General features: G+C 41.3%; 1 protein-coding gene and 1 pseudogene across 3 annotated transcripts; both read right to left on the minus strand.

The window, feature by feature from the left end:
- Positions 1-1,265: 1,265 nt before the first annotated feature.
- Positions 1,266-6,962, minus strand: GSTA7P (glutathione S-transferase alpha 7, pseudogene; annotated as a pseudogene). The gene has a single exon (NR_033760.1). The product of NR_033760.1 is annotated as a glutathione S-transferase alpha 7, pseudogene (transcript).
- On the minus strand, positions 11,890-25,278 carry GSTA2 (glutathione S-transferase alpha 2). 2 transcript variants are annotated; one of them, XM_047418684.1, is made up of 8 exons: positions 25,247-25,278; positions 19,888-20,021; positions 19,664-19,780; positions 18,061-18,112; positions 16,746-16,878; positions 14,657-14,798; positions 13,380-13,511; positions 11,890-12,502 (listed from the first exon to the last, which is right to left on the minus strand). In XM_047418684.1, the coding sequence occupies exons 3-8, from the start codon at positions 19,748-19,750 to the stop codon at positions 12,380-12,382; spliced, it is 669 nt and encodes a 222-aa protein (XP_047274640.1). In that variant the 5' UTR covers positions 19,751-19,780; positions 19,888-20,021; positions 25,247-25,278; the 3' UTR covers positions 11,890-12,379. The 2 variants fall into 2 exon arrangements, with proteins under 2 accessions (XP_047274640.1, NP_000837.3); NM_000846.5 differs by lacking the exon at positions 19,888-20,021.

Here is a 25,651-nt window from a genome sequence, read left to right on the forward strand (position 1 = left end):
TTTGAATCCTCCTGACGATGCCAATTTTTTCATTCCAATGAACGCTTGGCTTGGAAATTCCCACAAGGGAGTGCCCCAAATCTTCTCAAGATGGCACTGGTTGGGATTCTAAAGAACCAGCACTAAACACCAGAGTGATCAGTCCAAAGCATTTATGAGGGAAACATACAGTGGGCTGCAGTAATGCTCACGACAGACAGTGAGAGAAAAGGGCTATTCTACCTAGGTATGTGTGCAGCAAGGAGCTCAGGATATGAGGTTCAACATGAGGGTTTAAGGAGTCTGGCTCATGGCCAGGGCCAGTTTCTTTCAATGTTTTGGGCAACAACCAAGACACCTTTATCAGTGCCTGGAAATGTTCAAGGCCTCCGTTTGGGTTCAAGCCTGCTGGGAAAAACCTAAAGCTTGGCTGTTTCAGAGTGGTCAAGACACTATGATTTTCAGTCAGGACCCAGAAAGAAAACAGGAAAACTGGAGGACAAAATGCTGTTATTATTTATAATCCTATTACTAGTGTCCTTAGAGGAAAATTTGGATGGAGACACACACAGGGAGAATGGCCTGTGATGATGGAGGCAGAGATTAGAGTGATGCATGAAGCAAACCAAAGAATGGCAACGATGGCCAAGAACCATCAGAGGCAAGAAAAACAAAGGAGAATTCCCTAAGGCCTTCAGAGAGAACACCGCCCTGCTCACATCTCAATTTTGGATTCATAGCCTCCAGAACTGTGAAAGAATAAATTTCTATTGTTTTAAGTCACTAAGTTTGCGGTAATTTTTTGTAGCAGTCCTAGGAATGGGATACTTATGGTATACATGATTTTTTATTGGAGTTACCTATTTTTGTGTCTCTCTCACTAAAGTAACCCCATTATGGCTTGTTAATCATTATTTATCCAGCTCCTGGAACAGTGAGTATTTTATATTAGATAAAAATAGATATTGTTTCCTTAATTAAACAGGAAAAATATTGGGTGCCCGAAGGAAAATGGTTCTTAAAAAAAAGCTTTTCAAAACACAAAAGGAAAAGCCTATTTTTGTATAACCCAAATAGTCGTATGAAAATTTCTACATAATTCTTTGACAAGCTATGTAACAGTTGTTGTATGATGACTCTTTTTTTTTTAACAGGTCAGAGTCCAAGTAACTTTCTCACCTGTTATTTAAATCCAAAGTGACATTCTAGGCATGATTTTACATTTGGTCAATGCCAAGTAAGACTGCATTGCAACCACATCTGCATAGTTGAGCTTTAACTAAATTAGCATATACTTTGGAAAACTTTATTGGTCTCACAACAATCAGAATCAACACTTAGGTAAATCACTTCATTGTTGCAGAACTTTAGAAAATTGGTCTTGCATGTGCTTGGCCTCGATGGCTTCTTTTTCAAACCTTGAAAGTCTTCCTTGCTTCTTCTAAAGCTTTCACATCTACGGGAGGCCTCCTCTGGCTGCCAGGCTGCAGAAACTTCTTCACTGTGGGGAGGTTGCTGATTCTGGTTTTCAGGGCCTGCAATGCATGATAATGTAGCCTCAGAGTGAAGCCAAGGGCAGACACCATCATAAACACAACCCAGGAAATCTGAGTCCCTCCTACACAAAGACCAGCTGAGTCCCCTCCATCAACACCAGTGTAGAGGCAGGGAAACAGACACCCAGCCGGAAGCAAAGATAAGAGGAAGAACATGTAGCTCGCTAGCATTTTCCCCAAAGATGTCTTTAAGACTATTCAATTCAGTCTCCCTACACACTTCCTTACACATTAATCCTGTAAATTCATGGCTTTTGTATAAGACAAGAAAAAAGAATGTGCCTGTGAGATATGAGCACAGATCAGTCTCTAGGCAGAAGTGAAACTACAGGAAAATTGAGTCAGAAATGAAGATAGGAAATGTTAAAGGCAAATTATGGGGCTACTTTTTCCCACTGAGGGATACAAGGTTGGGGGCTGTGTGTTGTGAGAGCTGTGCAGGGAGAAACGCAATGTCTGACAGCAGGAGCTGGAGCCCAGGGAGAAAACCAGATGGAAAGAGCCCTGCTCAGACATACTTGGTGTGGGAAGACAAGGGCACATCTGGGATAAAGGGCATCACAGAGAACTCAGGAACAGAAACCACAGGGGAATAGAGGGATGGGGAGAGATGCTGGGCCCTGGGTCCTTTCCATGATAAAAGGCAAAATGCTCTTCCTGAGGTAGCAGAGATCCTGAACTTTGTTTATGGTCCCTGATTCAATGACAGAGTGAGAACGAGGGCTCTGCTCATTCCTTACTTGGACCCCAGGCTCCCATTTTCTCTTCTTATTTCACATCACTGTGGCATCCACACCACCCACCCAGCTTACATTTTCCACAAGGGCCAGGGGTCCGGCACCTGCTGCTGCATGTTCGGTTTGCCCCAGGCTCAACAGCATGCAGCCCTGACGTTCAGGACGTGGCTCTACGCTCTGCACTGTCCCTCTCCAATCTCTCTTGGGCAGTGACTCCACCTTCATGACAGCACTCCTCCCCCAGGAGTAGACTATTTCAGAGTCATTTCTTCTTGTCTGCTCTCCTCATTTCCTGCTCTCTCTGAGATCTGAAGTGAACCTGGGTGAACTTGAATTCATCATCTTTCTTGCATCGTCGGCTCTGACTCCTAACCTACAGTTATAATCTGCAAGTTGAAGTGTCTAGGGGTGGACTGCACTGATGTCTGCAACTTTGAAATGCATAAAAGTATCTTCCTCCCCATCCCACTGCCACCCTCCGTTTTTGGATATTTACCCCTGAAACGCCCCACAGTAACAAACACCCCACAATAACAAAACAATGGGCAGTTGGTCTCATGTCTTCCTACGCATGGTGCCAGAATATTTTCTGATGTATTCCATTCATCATGTTCCTTTTAAATCAAATCCAGTGTTGTTCTAAAGACTGTAGACCAAATTCTACTGTGGCTCAGAGCCTCTCACAGCCCATGTTCTAATTATGAACATGAAATTTTGTTAAATAAATAATTTATATTGGAGTCTAGTGAATTGTAATTTTGTGATAACAGCCTGGACAACATTGAGAGACCTCATCTCTTAAAAAATTCTAAAAATTAAACAGGCACAGTGGGTCATGCCTGTAATCTTAGCTACTCAGAAGGTGGCTAAGGTGGGAGGATCACATAAGCCCAGGAGGTCCAGGCTGCAGTGATCCACTGCACTGAAGCCTGGGAGACAGAAGAAGATATCATCTCCTAAAAAATAAAGAAAAATAAAACAAAACTTTGCTGGAAAATTATAGCTTGAGTGTAAGCGGTACAATTGTTTGTCAGTGCCCCAGGAATGCCAAGCCACTGTTTTTCTATTGTCCTCAAAATGCAGTGTTCCAAAACGCTGAATGACTTCACTTACTTTCTCAAAGGTAGGGAAATAGCAATTTTTCATTCTCTCTTCGATCAAGGCAAGTTTGACATCTTTTTCCTCAGGTTGACATATGGGCAGAAGAAGGATCATTTCATTCAAATCTGCCATACCTTCTATATACATATCAATCCTGAAAGACAAAAACAACCAAACTTTCTAATGCCTTTTGCCTTAGATTTTATAGTTTAAAAATCTAAGAGGATAGAGCATCAGGTGGTGGCAAAGCAATTTACCTCCAATGATTGCCTTTCATAGTCTAGTCATTATGCTCTGATTTTTACAGGTATATTAACATTTATTTTTTTAAAACAACCTATTGAGGTAGATAGATCTCTAAATTTTGTTACACACATGACCTAATACAGGTAAAAAGAGCATCGGTGGTCACAGTCATGACAGAAACTTGTGGAATCACTGCCAGTACCCACTGGTGCTGTGCCAGGACTGACCATCTCTATTGTGGTTTGTTCTGTGTGTGAACTTAGTGTGAGTCAAATTGCCAAAGTCCTGCCTCCTAAGTAATCCCAAGAGAGTCCCTGGCACAGCCATCTCAGTCATGTTCCTTGTTCTGTCTCATCATTTTACATCTCCCAGGCCCACTTCTATGCCCAATATTAGCAGTTTTTCCAGTTACTCCCATGAAACATAATTCTACAGCCCTCTCCATGTGCTGTTGTCCGACTCTAGCCACGTGTGCCTTACCTGAGACTCCACCTAAAAGATCCCCTTCCTTGGTGAAATTATTTATACAGTTACAACCAGTGCAAACTTTTTCTTTTGTGTCAAACTCAGGTTTCACAATACTTTTTAAAACAACAGCTTATTGACATACAGCCACATTCAGTGCTTTTTAGCACATTCACAGAACTCTGCAAAAATCATCACATTCTAATTCCAGAATATTTTTTATGACCCCGATAAGGACATCTGTACCATCAGCAGTATTCTTCATTTTACTCCAAGCCCCACTCCTTTAGCCCCAGGCAACACTAATCTACTTTCTGCCTCTATGGATTTGCATATTCTGGACGTTTCATACAAAAAGAATCCTATAATATGTGGCTTTCTGTGTCTTGTTTCTTTTATGTAACATGTCTTTATGGTTTAACCATCTTGTAGCATGCATCAGTACTTCATTCTGTTTCATGACAATATCGTTCCATCACATGGCTAAAGCACATTTTGCCCCTCCATTTATTGATTGATGGATATTTGCCTTGTTTCCACTTTTTGAATACTATGAATATTGTTATTTGCATTGTACATTTATCTTCAATATTTAGTGTGGTTGTATTTTTTATTCTTTTGGGAATATATCTAGTTGAGGAATTGCTTGGTCATTGGTAATACTGCAGGAAAATTTTGGAGGGGCTGCCAAAAGTTCCATTCAGGATTTATTTGGAATCATGTAGTTTTATCACAATAGTGAGGAAACCCTTTGGCTTTGCTGGTATTGAATCAATCTGGCTGTTTCAGCCTTGTAACCATGTGTCAAGATAACCCCAGCATCCTTGGTGCCAGCCTCTGCTAGCCCTGCTCAGGTGTTGCAGTCCATATAATTGGCTGGTAACTTAGGTCCCTGGTCATCATTCTTGGATTTACTGGAACCTGAGATTCAGCTCCTTTGTAACCTTTTCTCCCCAGGCCTTCACCTACAGACTCTCAAACGTTCTATGCCTTGTCCTAAGCTGTTGGCTCCAGTCCAGCCTCTGAAGGCCTGAGCACCTGGAATCATGATTCCCCATCCTCCTGAGTTCATGGTTCATCCGTGTTTGGAAACCTCTGTCAGGGTGCTGGATCCATGGACTGGATCCTCTTCTAGACTCCCCCTCGCCTGAGCCCACCCCATGTTCACTGTTCCCTCATCTCCATGAGTCTCTGCAATGCTAGACCCTAGCGTACATGCTGAAGGCCCCTACCATGTCCCACCCACTCAAGGAAGGACCTAAATCACTCCTGTGTTAAATCTGTTGATGGAAGAATAGAAACTATACCATACAGGGCTCTCTCCTTTGTGTCTTTCCCATAAAGGTTGTATTTGCTGGCAATGTAGTTGAGAATGGCTCTGGTCTGCACAGCTTCATCCTGTCAATCTCAACCATTGACACTAGCTGGAACATCAAACTCCCATCTTTACAAAGAAGGAAAAAAAAGGAGAGTGAAATGACTATGAATCCCACTCTTTCAGGATGAAAAAAATGGTTGTGAAAATGACTAAATTTGTACATGAAAAAGAAATTATTGCCTGGTAAGATTTCACCTGAAAGTGCGTTTTTAAAAAGCTTCCTGTAGTCCTTCTTTTTGTTAATCAGCTTCCTTTTACTTTTTATCATGTTGTTTCATTTTTGTTATTTATTTCTCCTCCAGATACATAGTAGAACTCTTGTCTTTTTTTGTGTTCATTTATGTTCATGGATACTTCAGGAAGATGTTGGGATAGGTTACAACAGGACTGCCAACACAATGCCATTTAGAATGAGAAGTTCCCAGAATAAGCCTCATATTTGTGACATTTAAGGCAGGTTCTGAGAGGTTTTTATGTAAGGGTCCCTTTCTGTGCTCTTCAAAGCCTGCAATACTGCTACAATATTACCTTTTCACACCCCCCATGAAAGAACAAAGACTCAAGACAATGGTCACATCTATTTCTCCTCCTTTCATCTAATCTATGTCCTTGAGTATCCTTGGATGGGGAGGCCTGTATGGGATCCTGAGCTGATCAACACAGCTCATTCATGGTGCCCAAAGCATGAAAATAAGGATAGGGCATTCTCAGGGCGCTGGGGATGGTTCCTCTAGCAAATACTCTGAGAAGTCTAGTTCTTTTAGCCTGGAGAGAGTTGCCAGACCTGATCAAGGAGCCACATCCCTTCCATTTTAACCACTTTCTCCCTCTCCACCTTGCCCAAATACCACCCCACACACACATGGGCATTGCCTGCTGTTCAAAATTCCTTGTGTGCCTTCTATTAGATACCCACATCAGAGGTACTTAGAGACTTCATCTTACCATTTCTTAACTTGTCCAATTCTTCTGCAGATTCTAGAAATTTCTGGTCAAACTGGAGACAGAAACAGTAAATGAGTTTTCGTTAGTTCATTCCATAGCATTATAAACTTCTGACTTTGAATAGCCCCTATCTGGTGCATCATTTGGAGAATATAAGATTTCTGAGTTTGGCAGTGCACACAGAGGGGCTGGTTGTGGCCATTTGTAAATTTAGACTAGATTCATTGGGGGAATGGCATGGGTCACAGCACATAGCTTCTCCGTCTTCCAGTTCACTGCATCTCCACCCCGATCTCATGACTATCTATGATTAAGTCATGTTTTGAGAGGGGATGTCAATGGAGAGATGGCACTGAGCAGTTCTTCTACTTATGGTGTTGTCATATCTTAGGAAAGCCTGTGTCTCCAAGTGAGATCAGACCACAACCTTGTGTGTCCCTAGCATGGGGTATGCCATGGGCTAATGGCCATCAAAGATTCTGCCACCAAGAGGCCTCTTCTGTAATTTACCTCACCCCACTTTTTAGGAATCTTGCTAAGTGTGAAATAGGTCATAGCTATTGCAAAGCTTTAACTCTTGCAACTATAATTTCCTTTTTCTGGAGTAAATGAGACACCATAGGGTAGAATCTCAATTTAAGAAAGGAATTAGAGTCCCCACACTAACATTATTTTTAACCAAAATCTCTGGTTTCTGAACCGGTTTTGTGGGTTCAATATCACCATTTTCATATATTGGCTTCTTGACTTTGGACACATTACTGAATCTCTCTGTGTCTGAGTATTCTAATCTATGAAATGGATATACTTGTGGTACCTATGGTACAGATTGGTAGGTTGGTATGAAGACTAAATTGCAAAGTCATACAAAGCACTTAGAAAAGTAGCAGGTCTCTAGTAAGTGCTCATTAAATATAACTAATTATTAGAAGTTTGAGAGATAGCTGCTATTTCAGCATGTCATCCTTTAAAAAAATCTAAATCAATCTAATATTGATGAAACTATTCTTTGTTATTGATCTACATCCAGTAACTTAAACCTTGGAGTAAATTACACCTTGTCCTGAGACAAGAGACATTGGTTGGAATGGCAGCCAGCAACAAGGCTGTCTCAATTTGATCAGAAGCTCAGAGTGGATGCAGGTATTTAATATAAATAGGAAAATCAGTTGTGACACAACTTTTCACAAAGGTCATCAAAACCTTTTACAAAAAATACTCCTGAAAAGGCATCTGTCCAGCAACTCCCTGTTCAAACTTGGCCTGGTGTCACCCTTGTTATTGATGTTTGCAGTGAATGATAAGTATTTCAAAACATTTACTTAATCCTTCTTATTCTTTTGCTTTAAAAATCTTTTTCTTCCTTTATCTCCCTAAGGACATACATGGTTTACTATGGTACACACGTACCCATTACAAAACTTTGTTCCCATATAAAGAGTCTCTTTCTGTTTATTAAGTTGACACAATATATCCAAAAGCAGCTGAATGCACAACTCAAACTGTCATCCAAGCACACAAAGAAGGCATTGATGTGAGTATTAAGCAGTTTTTTTTTATTGTACTAAGGACACATTTAAAAATATTTTTCTGGTGACCTAGATGAGATGGTGTGAGGCAGTGTAGAAAGATTTATAAGATCAGTACTTACTTTGTTAAAGGTTATCGCCCTCGTGGCTCAACAACTTAATTTGAGGTCCTAATGTGGTTGATAACCTACACGTTCATTTCAGTAGCTCCCTCCCATTGAAAGGAATAGATTCAAGTTAAAAACAGCCACTCCCACATGTTTCAGGGCCACAGGACTGCCTACTAGATTCTAAGAAAAATGGCAAGTCATCCTCTTATCACAAGGTAACTGGTTAATATGTTCCTTTTCAAGGTTGGCAATAAAAGTTTAACCAAAAATTTCAGCAGATTTTGCTCTCTTTATAAGTCAGTAGAAACTGGCTTTTTGAAGAAACTCACTTTTCGTGACTTGGATGTAAGGACTAAGGCAGATGAGAAATCTCTGCTGGGGGCATAGCTGGGAGGGCATGTCTGTGAAGGGCAGGCTGATGGCACTCTGGAAGACACTGGGTTGCCACATAAAATACAGGGCACCCAGGTAAATGTGAATTCCAGGCAAAGGATCAGTCACTTTTTAGTATAAGTATGTCCCAAACACTGTAGGAAACATGTTTATACTAAAAAAGTATTGCTTGTTTATCTAAAATTCTCATTTATTTTGCTGTTTTGTATCTTATCTGCCAAATCTGGCCACCCTATTTTTATGTTCTTTCCTCTCTGCATTGCTCAAATCACCCTTCCTGGCCTCTGGGCCTTTGCACATGGCATTTGTCCTGACTGGAATACTCTACTTTCACTTCCTGCTGTATTTTCTCTATTGTGTCTTTCCCTGCATTAATTTGACATGATGTATTCAATATCAGATTTCCCCTTAGACCTTGAGTTCTTGAGAGCGGAGCCTTCTTGTTTGAGTCCAGTCCTTATTGTCTGGGACAAAACATGGACATCATAGGAGCTCCTAAAATAAGATAGTTTAAAAATTTACATGGAAAAATTCTAGCAAATACAAAAGTAGAGGGAATAATATAACAAGCTTGAAGGTACCCATGACCTGCATTCATCAATTGCCAGCAACATTTTTTTATCTATGCCTGGCAGTGGATTAAGTTATGTTGGCTTCCAAGAAAGAGAGGTCCATGTCCAAATCCTTGAGTCCTGTAAATGTGACCTTATTTGGAAAAAGGCTCTTTGCAGATGAGGTTAAGGAATTTGAGATGAGATCATCCTGGTATATCCAGATAGGCCCTACATCCAATGACAAATGTCCCTGCAACGTAGAGAATAGAAGACACAGACACACAGAGGGTGAGGTGCTGGAAGCCCCAGGCAGAAAGTAGAGTGATGTGGCCATGATCCATGAAAGTCCAGAAATGCCAAGAGCCGCCAGAAGCTGTAAGAGGCAGGGAAGGATTGTTCTCTAGTACTTCCAGGGGAATGTGGCCCTACTCACACCCTGACTTCAGACTTCTCGCCTTCAGAATTGTAAGAAAATGCCTTTCTGATGTTTCAAGCCACCCAGTTTGTAGGAATCTGTGACAGGAGCCACAAGAAAATGATACAAACTCCCACATACTCCCTCCACTACCAGGGGATTCTTTTCAAGCAAATCCCAGACAGCATATCATTTCGTCTGTAAATACTAGTATTCATCTCTAGGAAGGAAGAACTTCTTTTCTAAACATAATCACACTATGATTGTGTTTAATATGATAATCTCTTATCATATTAAAATTCTATAATTCCCTAATTTCATCAAAGCTTCAGCATTCTAGTTCATGTAAGTGTCCCATAAAAATTTCTTAGCAGTTTGTTTATTTTGGTCAGCATGCAAGCAAAGTCCTTACAAAGCATTTGAGGGATATGAGTCCATTTTTTTTAGAAATTAATGAATGAATAGAGACAGGCAGAGTGTGTGGGGGTTTGTGAGTTCTCAAAGCCCAATCTCATATACCCAGGTTCTGGAGTTGCATAGAGCTGTGCATGGGTCTGTGCAGATGTCATTGTCCATTGGTGATGAAGCACTGGGGATCCAGCAGGCCAAGCCCCACACCACGAGCTCACAGTACAGGGGAGCAAACACAGTGGCCCTCAGGTGTTATTAGAGGTGAAGGGGTGGCCTGCCCCTCCACAGCTGTGGGTATTTCTAGTCAGGTGGGATGAGAGACTGAGAAAAGATATAAGACACAGAGACAAAGTATAGAGAAACGATAGTGGGCCCAGGGGACCAGCACTCAGGATACCAAGGACCTGCACCAGCACCGGCCTCTGAGTTCCCTCAGTTTTTATTGATTATTATTTTCATTACTTCAGCAAAAAGGAATGTAGTAGGAGAGCAGGGTGATAATAAGGAGAAGGTCAGCAAAAAACGTGAGCAAAAGAATCTGTGTCATAATTAGGTTCAAGGGAAGGTACTATGACTGGACGTGCACGTAAGCCAGATTTATGTTTCTCTCCACCCAAACATCTCAGTGGAGTAAAGAATAACAAAGCAGCATTACTGCAAACATGTCTTGCCTCCCACCATAGGGCGGTTTTTCTCCTATCTCAGAATTGAACAAATGTACAATAGGGTTTTGTACCGAGACATTCAGTTCCCGGGGCAGGCAGGAGACAGTGGCCTTCCTCTATCTCAACTGCAAGAGGCTTTCCTCTTCTACTAATCCACCTCAGCACAGACCCTTTACGGGTGTTGGGCTGGCGGATAGTCAGGTCTTTTTCATCCCATGAGGCCATATTTCAGACTATCACATGGGGAGAAACCTTAGACAATACCCCGCTTTCAAGGGCAGAGGTCCCTGTGGCTTTCCACAGTGCATTGAGCCCCTGGTTTATTGAGACTAGAGAATGGCAACGACTTTTACCAAGTATACTGCTTGTAAACATTTTGTTAACAAGGCACGTCCTGCACAGCCCTTGATCCCTTAAACCTTGTTTTCATACAACACATGTTTTTGTGAGCCCCAGGTTGGGTCAAAGTGGCTGGGTCAAAGTGGCTGGGGCAAAGCTACAAATTAACAACATCACAGCAAAGCAATTGTTTAAAGTACAGGTCTTTTTCAAAATGGAGTCTCTTATGTCTTCCCTTTCTACATAGACACAGTAACAGTCTGATCTCTCTTTCTTTTCCCTACAAGAGGCTCACTGGGGCTCTGTGGAGGGCAGAGGACAGCCCAGTGCTCCTGGGAAGCAATGAGGTAGTGTTAAGTGTGTCCACTGGGAAGGAGCTTGCCAGGTAGGGGTAGCAAATGCACCCAGGCAGGAAGGCAAGAGGCCTCACCATGTTCAGAGAGTTGACTGGGCTGAAGATCAAGGAGTGAGGACAGGTGTGAGGATGGATTTTATATGCAGTCAGGATTCCCTGAAGAATTCTGTGATTTTTTTTTTCCAATTTGCATTTTAGAAAAACTACTCTGGTTGTAAGTGGAGAAGAGACTAGAGCAAAGTGAAGCTGCAGGTAGGAAGCCTGTGTGTCTGTCTGCTCCCTCAACCACCTCTGCCAACTTGGGGAAGCTCCCTCTAAGAGGAGGAGAGCTCAAATTGCAGAAGCCCAGGTGTCCTGGGAGAGATTAGCATTACAGGACCAGTATGGGGGTGGAGCTAGAAAGCACTCCTAATCTAAGCACTCTGGCACAGTGACACACCAGGGAAAAATGATTTTGCATATAGTTATTTGTATGTAATTCACATATACCATCTGTATCTTGGCAGCCCAGGTCTGAGTGGCACTGAGGGAACTGAGAGAAGGCTTATGCCTGGGACCCCATGGAGGCTTAAGGAGCAGAGTGAGGATAAGCCAGGACCACATGCACTGTAAGAGACAACAAGGTGGCCTGAGAGCAGAGGGTGGGTCTGTTTGCTCTTCAATATTTCCTCACCTCCTAGAAAACGGAGGAATCCACAGCAGACAGAATCGTTGTTTTGCAAATGCATTAGAAAGAATGCTTTTATCAGAAATAAAATGACTGTTCAGGAAAAGAAGAAAATGTCTTTATGCCATTATCCAGGATGGTAACTCTTCTCCTGTGCATACCTGAAAATGTCAGAGGTGCATTTTTACATTGGCATTTTAATAGATTGTATGACAAATTGTATGTTACAGGGCAATTCTTGGAAAAGTCAAACAAACCACATAATTTATAGTTTCCATTTTTACTGAATTTGTAATTCCAAGAAAATTGTTGGCTAGGAGGAGATTGGAAAACTGAATTCACATCAGATCCTAATGAGAAGAAATCAATTTTAACTAAGTGGGTGAATAGGAGTTGTATTATTTAATTAGCATATAATTTGAAAGAGTTCATTAGCTTCACAACAGGCACAATCAACACTTAGGTAAAGCACTTAATTGTTGCAAAACTTTAGAATACTGGTCTTGCATGTTCTTGACCTCTATGGCTGGTTTATTAAAACCTGAAAATCTTCCTTGATTCTTCTAAAGATTTCTCATCCATGGGAGGCTTCCTTGGGCTGCCAGGCTGTAGAAACTTCTTCACTGTGGGCAGGTTACTGATTCTGGTTTTCAGGGCCTGTAATCCACAAAGCACAGCCTCACTAAAACAACAAGTCAAGGGCTGACACCCCCATTAACATGACCCAGGGAATCTGAGTCCCTCCTGCCAAAGACCAAGTGAGTCGCTTCCACTTGGGTGAAGGCAGAAACAGACACCCAGTGAGAAAGGAAGATAAGAGGAAGAACATGTAGCTCACTTTATTTTCCCCAAAGATGTCTTGAAATTTTAATCAGTTCAGTCATCCCTATCTTTCTTCTTACATATTAATCCTATAGATTAGTGACTCTTGTATAAGACAAGAAAAACTAATGTGCTTGTTTGATATCAGCACAGATCAGTCTCTAAGCAGAAGTGAAAATATGGGAAAATGAGTTGGAAAGGAAAATGTTATAGAAAATAGTAAAGACAAACCATGGGACCACCTTTTCTCAGTGAGAGATACATTGTCGGGGGCAGAGTGCTGGAGAGCTGGGCAGAGAGGAACAAAATGTCTGACAGCAGGAGCCGGAGCCCAGGGAGGAAACCAGATGGAAAGGGCTCTGCTCAGACTGACTCAATGTGGGCACATATGGGATAAAGGACATCACAGAGAACTCAGGAACAGAAACCACACTGAAATAGAGGGATGGGGAGACATGCTGGGCCCTGGGTCCTTTCCATAATAAAAGGCAAAATACTCTTTGCGGGGTAGCATGCACTACAAATTTCCTTTCCATAACAAAAGTGTTTTCATTCCTCAAAATTGGAGCCTGGAAGCTCATTTTGGAGACCTTGGGGCACCAAAGGCCTGGAGAAGGCTGGGGTCAAAACATGCTCAGTCCCAGGGCCCAGATACAAGATCCCAAGATGGGAGATGTGGGTCTGCCTCTCTGAAGACTGTGAAATGGGTCACCTTCAGCAGAGGGAAGCTGGAAATAAGGCTAGAGTCAAGCTCTTCCACGTAGTAGAGAAGTTCCACCAGGTGAATGTCAGCCCGGCTCAGCTTGTTGCCAACAAGGTAGTCTTGTCCGTGGCTCTTTAAGACCTGGAGAATGGGAGGAATCAGATCAGGAACACATGCCCACCCAGGCTGGGACCCCTGCTTCTTTCAGAGCCTCTCCACCCTGACTTTCCCCACCTCTGTTGCCTTACTGCATGGATGCAGAAATCCCGAGCTTTCTCCACATTATCTGAATGAATGAGATAGTAAGAAGTGTAACTGTACTCACTCCTCAGTTGGAGCTCAGCCTCCCATTTTCTCTTCTCATCCACATCACTGTGGCGTCTACACTACCCACCCAGCTTGCTTCTTCCACATGGGCCAAGGGCTTAGCACCTGCCGCCGCATGTTCTGTCTGCCCCAGGCCCTGCAGTGTGGAGCCCTCACATTCAGGATGTGGCTCTACATTCTGCTGTCTCCCGCTCCAATCTCCCTTGGGCAGTGACTCCACCATCGTGACAACACTCTTCCCCCAGAAGGAGACTATTTCAGAGTCCTCATTTCTCCTTGTCTGTTCTCCTCATTCCCTGCTCTATCTCCCTGAGATCTGTAGGAAACCTGGGTGAACCTGAATTCATCATCTTTTTTACAGCATCGACTCTGGTTCCTAAATGGCACTATGTTATAATCTGCAAGCTGAAGCGTTTAGGAGTGAACTGCTCTGATGTCTGCAACTTACTATAAAATGCATTTTACAGAATCTTCCTCTGCATCCCACAGTCACTCTCCTTTTAAAAAATACTGATCCCTGAAACACTGCAATATTCTCTGGTTGGGCAATTGGTCTCCTGTCTTCCTGCATATGGTGCCAGAATGTTTTCTGATGGATCACTTTCATCATGCCCCTGTTCAAAGTCCATGGGGTTCCATAGACTGAACAGCAACTCTAGTGTGGTCCAGAGCCTTCCACAGCCCACATTCTACTTATGAACACAAAATTCTGTTGAACAGATAATTCCATATTGGGGTTCAGTAAATTAAAATTTTACTGGAAGATTATAGCTTGGGTATAAGTGATACAATTGTTTCTCCAAGTCTATTTTCATAAAATGCCTTGAGAGTCAGAGTGCTGCATTGGTGTCCAGGAAGTATCACTGAAAGTGAAGATCAGTGCCCCAGGAATGCCCAGCCACTATTTTTCTACTGGCTTCTAAACTCAGTTCCCCAAAACACTGAACAGCTTCACTTACTTTTTCAAAGGCAGGGAAGTAGCGATTTTTTGTTTTCTCTTGGATCAAGGCAAGCTTGGCATCTTGTTCCTCAGGTTGACTAAAGGGCAGAAGAAGGATCATTTCACCCAAATCTGCTATACCTTCTATATACATATCAATCCTGAAAGACAAAAACAACCAAATGGTCAAATATCTTTTGCCTTAGATTTTATAGGTTTATAAAAACCTAAGAGAGTAGAGTATCAGGTGATGGCAAAATAATTCACCTCCAATGAGTGCCTTTTATAGTCTAGTCATTATGCTCTGAGTTTTACAGGTATATAGTCATTATGCTCTGAGTTTTACAGGTATATTAACATTTATTTCTTAAAACAGCCTATCAAGGTAGATAGCTCTCTAAATTTTGTTACACGCATGACCTAATACAGGAAGAAGATCATCGGTGGTCACAGTCATGAGAGAAATTGGTGGAATCACTGCCAGTACCCACTGATGCTGTGCCAGGATTTATCATCTCCATTGTGGTTTGTTCTGTGCATGAACTTAGTGTGAGTCAAATGGCCAAAGACCTGCTTCCTAAGTAATCCTAAGAGAGTCCCTGGCACAGCCATCTCAGCCATATTCCTTGTCCTCTCTCATCATTTTACAGCTCCCAGGGCTGCTTCTATGCCCCATATTTGCAGTTCTTCCAATTACACCCATGAAAAACGTTTCCACAGCCCTCTCCATGTGCTGTTGCCCAACTCTAGCCATGTGTGCCTTTCTTAAGAGCCAACCCCTTCCCTGGTGAAATTCTCTGTACAGTTACAACCGTGCAAACTTTTCTTCTTTTGTGTCAAACTGGAGTTTCACAATACTTTTTAAAACAAGAGCTTTACTGATGCATATTCACATACTATAATTGCCACCTCTTATGTTATACTATTGAGTGGTTTTCAGTGCATTCACAGAATTCTGTAAAAATAATCACAGTCTAATTGCAGAATTATTTTTGTCACCTTGATAAGGACATCTGTACCATTAGCGGTATTCTTCATTTTTCTCCAAGCCCCACTCCTTTAGCCCCAGGCAATCACTAATCTACTTTCTACCTCTATGGATTTGAATATCTGGACATTTCATATTAAAATAATCCTATAATATGTGGCCTTCTGTGTCTCGTGTATTTTATGTAACATGTCTTTATGGTTTAACCATCTTGTAGCATGCATTCGTACTTCATTCCTTTTCATGACCAAATATCTTTCCATTGCATGGCTAAGGCGCATTTTTCTCCTCCATTTATTGATTGATGGATATTTGGGTTGTTTCCACTTTTTGAATTCTATGAATATTGTTATTTGCATTATTCACTTATGTAAAATATATAGTGTGGATGTATTTTCGATTGTTTGGGGATATACTTGTTAGAGGAACTGCTGGGTCATCGGTAATACCATATTAAAGTTTTTGAGGAGCTGCCAGCAGTTTCATTCAGGATTTATTTGGAATCATGCAGTCTCATCACAACAACAAGGAGACCCCTTGGCTTTGCTGGTATTGAATCAATCTGGCTGTTTCGGCCTTCTATCCATGTGTCAAGGTAACTCCAGTATCCTTGGTGCCAGCCTCTACTAGCCCTGCTCAAGTATTCCAGTTGATATAATTGGTTGGTAATTTAGGTTCCTGTTCATCATACTTGGAATTACTGGGACCTTAGACTTGGTTTCTTTGCAGCTTTCCCTCCCCAGTCCTTCATCTACAGACTCTCACATATTCTATGCCTGTCCTAAGCCATTGGCCGGGGTCCAGCCTCTGAAGTCCTGAGCACCTGGAAACATGATTCCCCATCCTCCTCAGTTCATTGGGTTTATGAGAGTTTGGAAACCTTTGTCAGGGTGCTGTGTCCATGGACTGCATCCTCTTCTAGAATCACCCTCGCCTGAACCCTCCCCATGTTCACTGTTCCCTCATCTCCATGGGACTCTGCAATACTGGACCTCAGCGTGCATGCCCAAGGCCCAGCCTGCTGCTGGTCTTGATACCCTGCCATGGTCCCACCCACTCAAGGAAGGACCTAAATCACTCTATGTTCTCTGTGGATGGAAGAACAGAAAATATACCGTACAGGGCTTTCTCCTTTATGTCTTTCCCATAGAGGTTGTATTTGCTGGCAATGTAGTTGAGAATGGCTCTGGTCTGCACCAGCTTCATCCCATCAATCTCAACCATTGGCACTTGCTGGAACATCAAATATCCATCTTTAAGAGGAAGAAAAAAAAGGAGAGTGAAGTGTCTATGAAACCCACCATTTCAGGATGAAAAAAAATGGTTGTTGAAATGACTAAATTTGTAAAACGAAAAAGAAATTACTGCCTGGTAAGAGTTCACTTGAAACAACTTTTTTTTTTTTTTTTTGAGGCAGAGTATCATTCTGTTGTCCAGGCTGGAGTGGAGTGGTGTGATCTTGGCTCACTGTAACCTCTGCCTCCCAGGTTCAAGCGATTCTACTATCTCAGCCTCTCTATAGCTGAGATTACAGGCATGCACCACTGCACATGGCTAATTTTTGTATTTTTAGAAGAGATGGTGTCTCACCATGTTGGCCAAACTGGTCTCAAATTCCTGAACTGAAGTCATCCACCTGCCTCAGCCTCCCAAATTGGGATTACAGGTGTAAGCCACTGCACCCAGTCCAAACAATATGTTTATAAAGCTTCCTGTAGTTCTTCTTTTTCTTAAGAAGTTTCCTTTTAGTTTTTATCCATTTATTTCATATATGTTTTTGTTGCCCCTCCAGATACATAGTGGGACTCTTGAATTTTTTGTGTTGATTTATCTTCATGGATATTTTAGGAAGAGGTTGGGACAAGTTACAATAGTACTGGCAACAAGATGTCATTTAAAACAGGATGTTCCCAGAGTAAGTCTCATGGTGTTTATGATATTTAAGGCAGGTTCTGAGAGGTTTTTATATAAGGGTCCCTTTCTGTGCTCTTCAAAGTCTGCGATATTGCTACAGTGTTACCCAGTCCCACTCCCCCCATGAAAGAAAAAACTCAAGACAGTGGCCACATCTATTCCTCCTCCTTTTGTCTAATGCATGTTCTTGCATGTGCTTGGATGGAGAGGGCTGTATGGGATCCTGTGCTGATGACCACTGCTCACTCACAGTACCCCAAGCATGAAAACAAAGAAAGGGCTTTCTCAGGGGTGGGAGATTGTTCCTCTAGCAAATACTCTGAGAGGTCTGGTCCTTTAAGCCTGGAGAGAGTTGCCAGACTTGCTCAAGGAGCCACATCCCTTCCATTTTAACCACTTTCTCCCTCTGCACCATGTACAAATACCATGCCCCACACCCATAGACATTGCCGGCTGCGCAAACCTCCCCGTGTACCTTCTACTAGATACCCTCATTAGAGAAACTTAGAGGTTGATCTTACCATTTCTTAACTTGTCCAAATCTTCTGCAGATTTTATAAATTTCTCTTCAAACTGGAAGCAGAAACAGTAAATATGTTCTTGTTAGTTCATTCTATTATAGACCTGTGAAATTGAATGGCCTCTATCTGGTGCATCATTTGGAGAATATAAGATTTCTGAGTTTGGCAGGGTACACAGAGGGGGCTAGTCATGGCCATTTGGAAATTTAGACCTAATTCATTGAGAAAAGTGCATGGGTCACAGCACATAGCTGCTCAATCTTCTAGTTCACTTCACCTCCACCTTGATATGAATGTCTATGATTAGGTCATGTTTTGAGAGGGACATCACTGGAGAAAAGGCACTGAGCAGTTCTTCTAGTTATGGTGTTGTCATATCTTAGGAAAGCCTGTGTCTCCAAGTGAGATCAGACCACAACCTTGTGTGTCCCCAGCATGAGGCATGACATGGGCTAATGGCCATCAAATATTCTGCCACCAAGGAGCCTCTGCTGTAATTTGTATCGCCCCACTTCTCAGGAACCCTGCTAAGGGTGACATAGGTCGCCACTGTTGCACAGCTTTCACACTTGCAACTGTAATTTTCTCTTCTGAAGTACGTGAGACACAATAGGGTAAAATTCTCAATTTAATAAAGGAATTAGGGTCCCACACTAGCATTATTTTTAAGGAAAACCTCTGGTTTCTGATGTGGTTTTGTGGCATTGGGGAATGCTTGTGTGTTCTAGAAGCCTCCTCCCCTCATTTTAACCACGTGTTTATTTCTCTGCATCCTCATAGACACGTAGGCTGCCCCAGGGCAGGGACTGTGTCTGTCTTGTTCACTATCTCCATGACCGAGTACAGAACCTGGAATTAATAAGTGCTCAAGTAAATAATTGCTGTGAATGTAGTCAATCTTTAATAGGTAGTTTGTTACAATCCACTCCCTTCCATCTCTCATTTGTAGTTTGCATTTTACCTCTAATTACAATCATTTTTTAATATTATGCATTTTTATTTTTTTATTGTGGAAATTATGAACATGAATAAATATAAACAGAAAAGCATAATGATTCTCCTTATACTTCTCACCTAGAATCAATAATTATCAATCAAAACCAATATGGTTTCATCTATATGCCCACCTACTTCTCCTCTTGTAATAATTCCAAGGAAATCCCAGATCCATATGATTAATCCTTAAATACTTCAATGTGTTTTCCTAAAACACATTAACTATTCTAAAGACAGCCATAGTACATTATCACACATGAAATATTAACAATAATTATTTCATGTCCTCAAATATTCAATCGATATTTGTGTTTCTAATTGTTGTATAAATGCCATAAATTATTTTTTACAGTTTGTTTAAATTCTAATCCACTTAAGTTCTGCACTTTGTGATTAGTGTCTTAAATGTATTTTAATATGTATGCTTTTAGAGGAGAAGAAATTTTAAGAATTAATAGGTCAAATCTGTTCATCTTTTTCTTAATTACAGTCCCTTTTTATTTAAGGCACAATGCTTCAGTTAGTAATCATCTCATAGTTTCTGTGGGAAAAGTATGTGATAACGCAATCGTAAATCTGACTTAAGATGACCTAACTCAGAACCTACCTCTACTCCAGCTGCAGCCAGGAGCCACCGGATGGACTCCATTCTGCCCCGTATATTGGAGTAGTGGAGCTTGGGCTTCTCTGCCATGGTAGCAGTCTCCTGGAGGTTTCTCTAAGCCTGAGTGAATGAATGAATGAATGAATGAATAATTGAAACGATAGAATCAAAAATGTACTTTAGGATGTATGGTTGAAAACCACAAACAATGCTGAAGAAGAACCTGCCTTCTTCATGACGGTGTTGGAGGAGTTCCCGGAATGTTTTCTTGGCTCAAATTATTACCCAGCAGTGGCCACCCTCAGATTCCAGCAAACCAGTCTCAAGTTTTCACTGTTTAACTCTGAATTTTCTTGGCAGCCTAAGAGGTGAGAGTATGTGGTAATAATACATGTATAGGAGTTAATGGGAAGAGGAAGAATTCAAGAACTAATATTTACTGAAAACTTCCTAGTGATCCTTCCTCAATGCTAGTCCCTTTCAATATTTTATATCTTTAACCCTCCTTATAGTCCCATGAAATGATTATCTCCATTTTTTCGTTAATGAAATGGAACATCAGAGAAATACAATGTTCACAGTCACACTCCGGTTGGTGATGGACATGAATATCTACACCAAGGACTAAAATGAAATCATGCCTGGAAGCCAGCTGGGTGAAGGCCCTGGGAACCCATGAACTGGCCATGAAACCAGAGGATGTCACTGACAGGGAGGACCGGCTGGGAGCTAAATCACTCTTCAGCTCTTTGGCTGTGAGACTGCATTTGATCAAAACCAGAAATTAGGCCTCAGACTTGTTTAACTGTAGCTAGAAGATCCAAATTCTTTCAAGAGACAGAGATTGTTTATCCCTTGCTTCTTTTGGAATTCTGTATTCTAACTCTATGGGGTGCATTTTGTTTTATAAGCTGGAAGAAGAGATGTTGCTGCATTAATTTTGCAATATGGAAGGAGCTAGCATTTGTTCAACATCAGTCACACACTGATCATTCTTCTAAACTTCTCTTTGTTTTATCCTACAAAAATTACCTAAGGTTAATGTGGTTGTTATTCTCATTTTACATTTGAGGATACTGAGGTTTTTAAAGTAACTTGCTCAGAGTAAATGATAGATCTGGGATCCAGGGTCACTGCTATTAAAAACCAAATACTGAGTCTTATTTTCTATGTTAGTGTTTCTCAAATATGCATGGTAATCTCTCAGCAGATTGTGAAATCCCATTACTTTAAAAAATAAATAGAAAAGAAAAGAATAGAAAATATCAGTGAGCATGACATGTTGAAAGGTAAGTAATGTTTCATGAGTTGTTAGTTTCAGTTATTTGTATACTGTGTGTATGGATCTTTGCATGTGTGCATGCTCACTTGGTCATTGTAAATGGTTAGAGACTGGGCTTATCAGTGAAATTTGATAGCCCTTGCTCTATGCCAGGCTGTTTGGGTGGTGGAATGTAGCAGAGTATCAGAGAATGAAAACCAGTGGCTGCAGAGACAGATGCAACTAATTGTATCATGAATGTGAATGGAAAGACACAGGACTCATTGAAAGAAGGAGTTCCAGTGCCAGGACTTAGGAATAGTTGCGTTTTATCACCAAACCCCCAGCTCTGTTATTAAACATTAAGATTCTTCTTGCAAAGTTTTGTGGTTGTTGAGTGTGGAACAAAAATATACTTGCCTTTAACAACTAATGTATTTATTTGTTTTTTTTTTTTTTTTTTTTTTTTTTTTTTTTTTTTTTGAGACAGAGTTTTGCTGTTTTTGCCCAGGCTGCAGTGCAATGGCGCGATCTTGGCTCACTACAACCTCAGCTTCCCAGGTTCAAGTGATTCTCCTGCCTCAGCATCCTGAGTAGCTGGGATTACAGGCACATGCCAGCACACCTGGATAATTTTGCATTTTTAGTGAAGACAGGGTTTCAGCATGTTGGACAGTCTGGTCTCGAAAGTCTGACCCCAGGTGATCCACTCACTTCAGCCTCCCAAAGTGCTGGGATTACAGGCATGAGCCACTGCACCCAACCTCAACTAATGTATTTCTAAAAAAGTATGCATGATTAAAATTAGGCATCAAAATCTTTTAAATGTCTACATTTTAAAATATGGGAGTCAATAGTTTAACCTTTGGAAAGTAAAGAATTCTTTGAAATCATACTGAATCAACTCACCTGTTTTGTAATTAGATATTTTGACATTGTACTTTCTATGATAACTCCAGGAGTAAATTAAAGTAACTTGGGAAATGGAAATAGCATAATTCGACAGAATGAAAGGGAGAGTGAAGTTCACATGAAAGCGTAGGGTGTGCTTGTTTAATTGTTATGTACTAGAGTTCACAGTGTCATAATTCCAATCCCCAAAATAAACTCTCTTAGCCATTGATCGAGGATCATGTTTCAAAAGGAAGTGAAATTTTATCTTACATAATATTTTATCACAACACTCCAGCTGATAATTAACATATCACTTCCTCAATGTGAGGTTTCCAAGGGTCAGGCTAAGACTGAGACATAAGTTACCATTGAGCTTTGTTGGGTCAACAGAAAATGAGAACCAGAGAGCTCAAGGATTTGCCATGGGTCATACACACATGCTCCTCATTCATAGTCAATATCTAGGGAGTGTGTTTACCTTCTGCAACAACCCTGGGAAATGGCTCCTATTATCCTAATTAAAGATGGGTACACTGAATTTCAGAGAGCTAAAGCACCTGTCTCATGCTGCACACGTGGTGAGTGTTGGGTCAGCCTGAACTTCTGATTGCAGGTCCGGAGCTTTTCCACTCCACCTCATAACCTGGCTCTCAGCTCCTGTCTGAGAAGTTGTTTTGTATTTTCCTATTCAATGTATATTAGCCAAATAAATGTTGGAAGGAGAGGGCGAGAGGGGAACATCTAATTCCTGAGTTCCTCCTGTTAGCAACTTTTCAGGGGCTTGCTTGGAAGAAAAAACTAATAAAAGTGTGCCTTTCTCTACTTTGACAACCTAAAAACCAGAGTGAGTTGAGGACTAGTGTAATTACTTTACATCAATAATTAATTTACATCAATTAAAAAATGGGCTTGTTTTGAAAGGACTATAAGGTCTCATATTTCCAGGAGTAAATTAAAGGAGTTACGTCTCTGAGGTTGTCCCAGTGACACTGTTTCTTATCAGAGAGAAGGGAGAATGAGATAAACCATGACTCCTTCCATTATGAGATTCATAAATGCAGTAGGTTGTTTAATCTCTGAGCCTCAATTTTCTCTTCTTAGATTAGAGATAGTTATTTCTACTTTTGAGGGTTGTTGAGAAAGTTAAATGAGATAATGTAGAAAAAAATCATAGTAGGAACACAGGGTGTTTGCTCTTGTCCCAGTGCTTGGAAGATGGGTGAGGCTCTGGACACATTGAGTAGCCCATGGATCTTCTTTCTTTGATCTATCTATCCACCAATTATTTTACCAACCAACAATCTATGTACATGTATCTGTTTATAATCTCTGTCTACCCATCCATGTATGTATTATTTTATCTATCAATCGTTCTATGTATCTATCTCTCTGTAATCTGTCTCTTCATCATCTATTATCTATCTTGTATCCATTTCTCTGGTTCTCTATATTTTGTCCGTAGAACTCTAGTAGGAATAAGATTTTATATGAATCCAGACTTATATCAAATCTGTCATATGATGGCTCTCTGTTTCTCTCTCTCTTTGCTTTTTAGCTCCTGTACAGAGGTCAATGATATTCACTAATCAGCCCACCTGGATTAACAGGAAGTTTTCAGTGAATGTCCAAGCAGTGGGGCACATCGGTAACACAGCCTTGCTTAGCCCCATGAGGTCATGTAGTCCCATGGTTCTCAACCAGGGGGATTTTGTTCCTCTGCTCCAGAGGACATTGAGCAAGGTCTAGAGACATTTTGGGTTGCTATATCTGCAGAGAGGGAGGGGGGCTACAAATCAGATAGGTAGAGGGCAGGGATGTGTGGGGAAAAGAAAGAGAGATCAGACTGTTACTATGTCTATGTAGAAAGAAGTAGACATAAGAGACTCCATTTTGTTCTGTACTAAGAGAAATTCTTCTGCCTTGAGATGCTGTTAATCTGTAACCCTACCCCCAGCCCTGTGCTCACAGAAACATGTACTGTGTGGACTCAAGGTTTAATGGATTTAGGGCTATGGAGGATGTGCTTTGTAAACAAATGCCTGAAGGCAGTATGCTTGTTAAAAGTCATCACTATTCAGTAATGTCAAGTACCCAGGGACACAAAACACTGCGGAAGGCCGCAGGGACCTCTGCCTAGGAAAGCCAGGTATTGTCCAAGGTTTCTCCCCATGTGATAGTCTGAAATATGGCCTCGTGGGAAGGGAAAGACCTGATAGTCCCCCAGCCCGACACCCATAAACGGTCTGTGCTGAGGAGGATTAGTAAAAGAGGAAGGCCTCTTTGCAGTTGAGATAAGAGGAAGGCATCTGTCTCCCGCTTATCCCTGGGCAATGGAATGTCTTGGTGTAAAACCCAATTGTATGTTCCATCTACTGACATAGGAGAAAACTGCCTTAAGGCTGGAGGTGAGACATGCTGGCGGCAATACTGCTCTTTAATGCACCAGATATGTTTATGTATGTGCACATCAAAACACAGCACATTTTCTAACCTTGTTTATGACACAGAGACGTGAGTTTGTTCACGTTTTCCTGCTGACCCTCTCCCCACTATTATCCTATTGTCCTGCCACATCCCCCTCTCTGAGATGGTAGAGATAATGATCAATAAATACTGAGGGAACTCAGAGACTGGCGCCAGCGCAGGTCCTCCATATGCTGAGCCCCGGTCCCCTGGACCCACTTTTCTTTCTCTATACTTTGTCTCTGTGTCTCTTTCTTTTCTCAGTCTCTCATCCCACCCAACAAGAAACACCCACAGGTGTGGAGGGGCAGGCCACCCCTTCAGGGATGCTTAGAAATATCCTAGAGTGGGCAGGACAGATCTCCGTTCAAAGAATTACACAGTTCGCAGCAACAGTCAGAGCCTCTTTCTTAGCTATTCTCTATATTGGCCATGAGTTGGTAGTACTCCAGAGACAGAATATGACTTGTCGTCGAGCTAATTAGTGGCAGAGGCTCAACTAGAATCTAGTCCTCCTAACATTCAAACTAATTTTTTCTAATTATAATAAACCTTAGTTTTGAATTTTCACAGCCAATATAGAATTACAGTGTCACAATTTACAATTGTGTGTTGACTATATATATAAAGAAATTTTTGCATACATTGCCACTTCTTCCAGCACTGATTATTCTCAGATTGTTTAAAATGCTACCATTTCTTTTTTCTCCTCATGTCATTGTTTCCCATACCTTTAAATGCTGAGGCCCTGGTTTTCTAAACTCTTCATTTTTACATTTCTGTAAAGATGTATCCAACAGAAAAGAAATAAACAGTTCTTGAACTGTCACCCAAACACACCAAGATGGCATGATATGAGTAAAAACAAACTTTTTCTTGTGCTAAGGACACATATTAGTGTATTTTTCTAGGAGGCTAGAGAGGAGGGTGTGAGGCAATGTAGAGAGATTTATAAGATCAGTACTTACTTTGTTAAATGCTGTCACCTTTGTGGCTGGACAACCGAATTCCAGGTCCTAATGTATTTATAAGCTCTTTGTTCCTCTCAATAGTTCCCTCCCACTGAAAGAAGGGTCAAGTTAGGGAAAAGCCACTCCCACACATTTCATGGCCAAGGGGCCACCTACTGGATTCTAAGACATGAGGCAAGTGATCTGCTTATCAGAAGACACTGGTTAATATGTTCCTTTTCAAGGTTGGTAATCAAAGTTTAAACAATACATTTCACCTAGATTTTGCTCTTTTTGCAAGTCAGCAGAAACTGGCTTTTTAAAGATACTTTTTTTCATGAGTTGGATGCAAAGACTAGGGCAACTGAAAAAACCCTATTGTGAGCATAGCTGGGAGAGGATGTCTGTGAAGGGCAAGCTGAT

Source organism: Homo sapiens, chromosome 6, assembly GCF_000001405.40.
Source record: "Homo sapiens chromosome 6, GRCh38.p14 Primary Assembly".
NCBI classification, from domain to species: Eukaryota; Metazoa; Chordata; class Mammalia; order Primates; family Hominidae; genus Homo; species Homo sapiens.

Bases quoted from the DNA above. Each gene is read 5' to 3' on its own strand.
- GSTA2 (NM_000846.5), bottom strand. From the start codon at position 19,750: ATGGCAGAGAAGCCCAAGCTCCACTACTCCAATATACGGGGCAGAATG. The intron at 18,113-19,663 runs GTAGGTTCTGAG...TTCTGCTTCCAG, and splicing joins TGGCTGCAGCTGGAGTAGAG to TTTGAAGAGAAATTTATAAA. The intron at 12,503-13,379 runs GTGACCCATTTC...TGTGGATTACAG, and splicing joins CCAGCTTCCCTCTGCTGAAG to GCCCTGAAAACCAGAATCAG.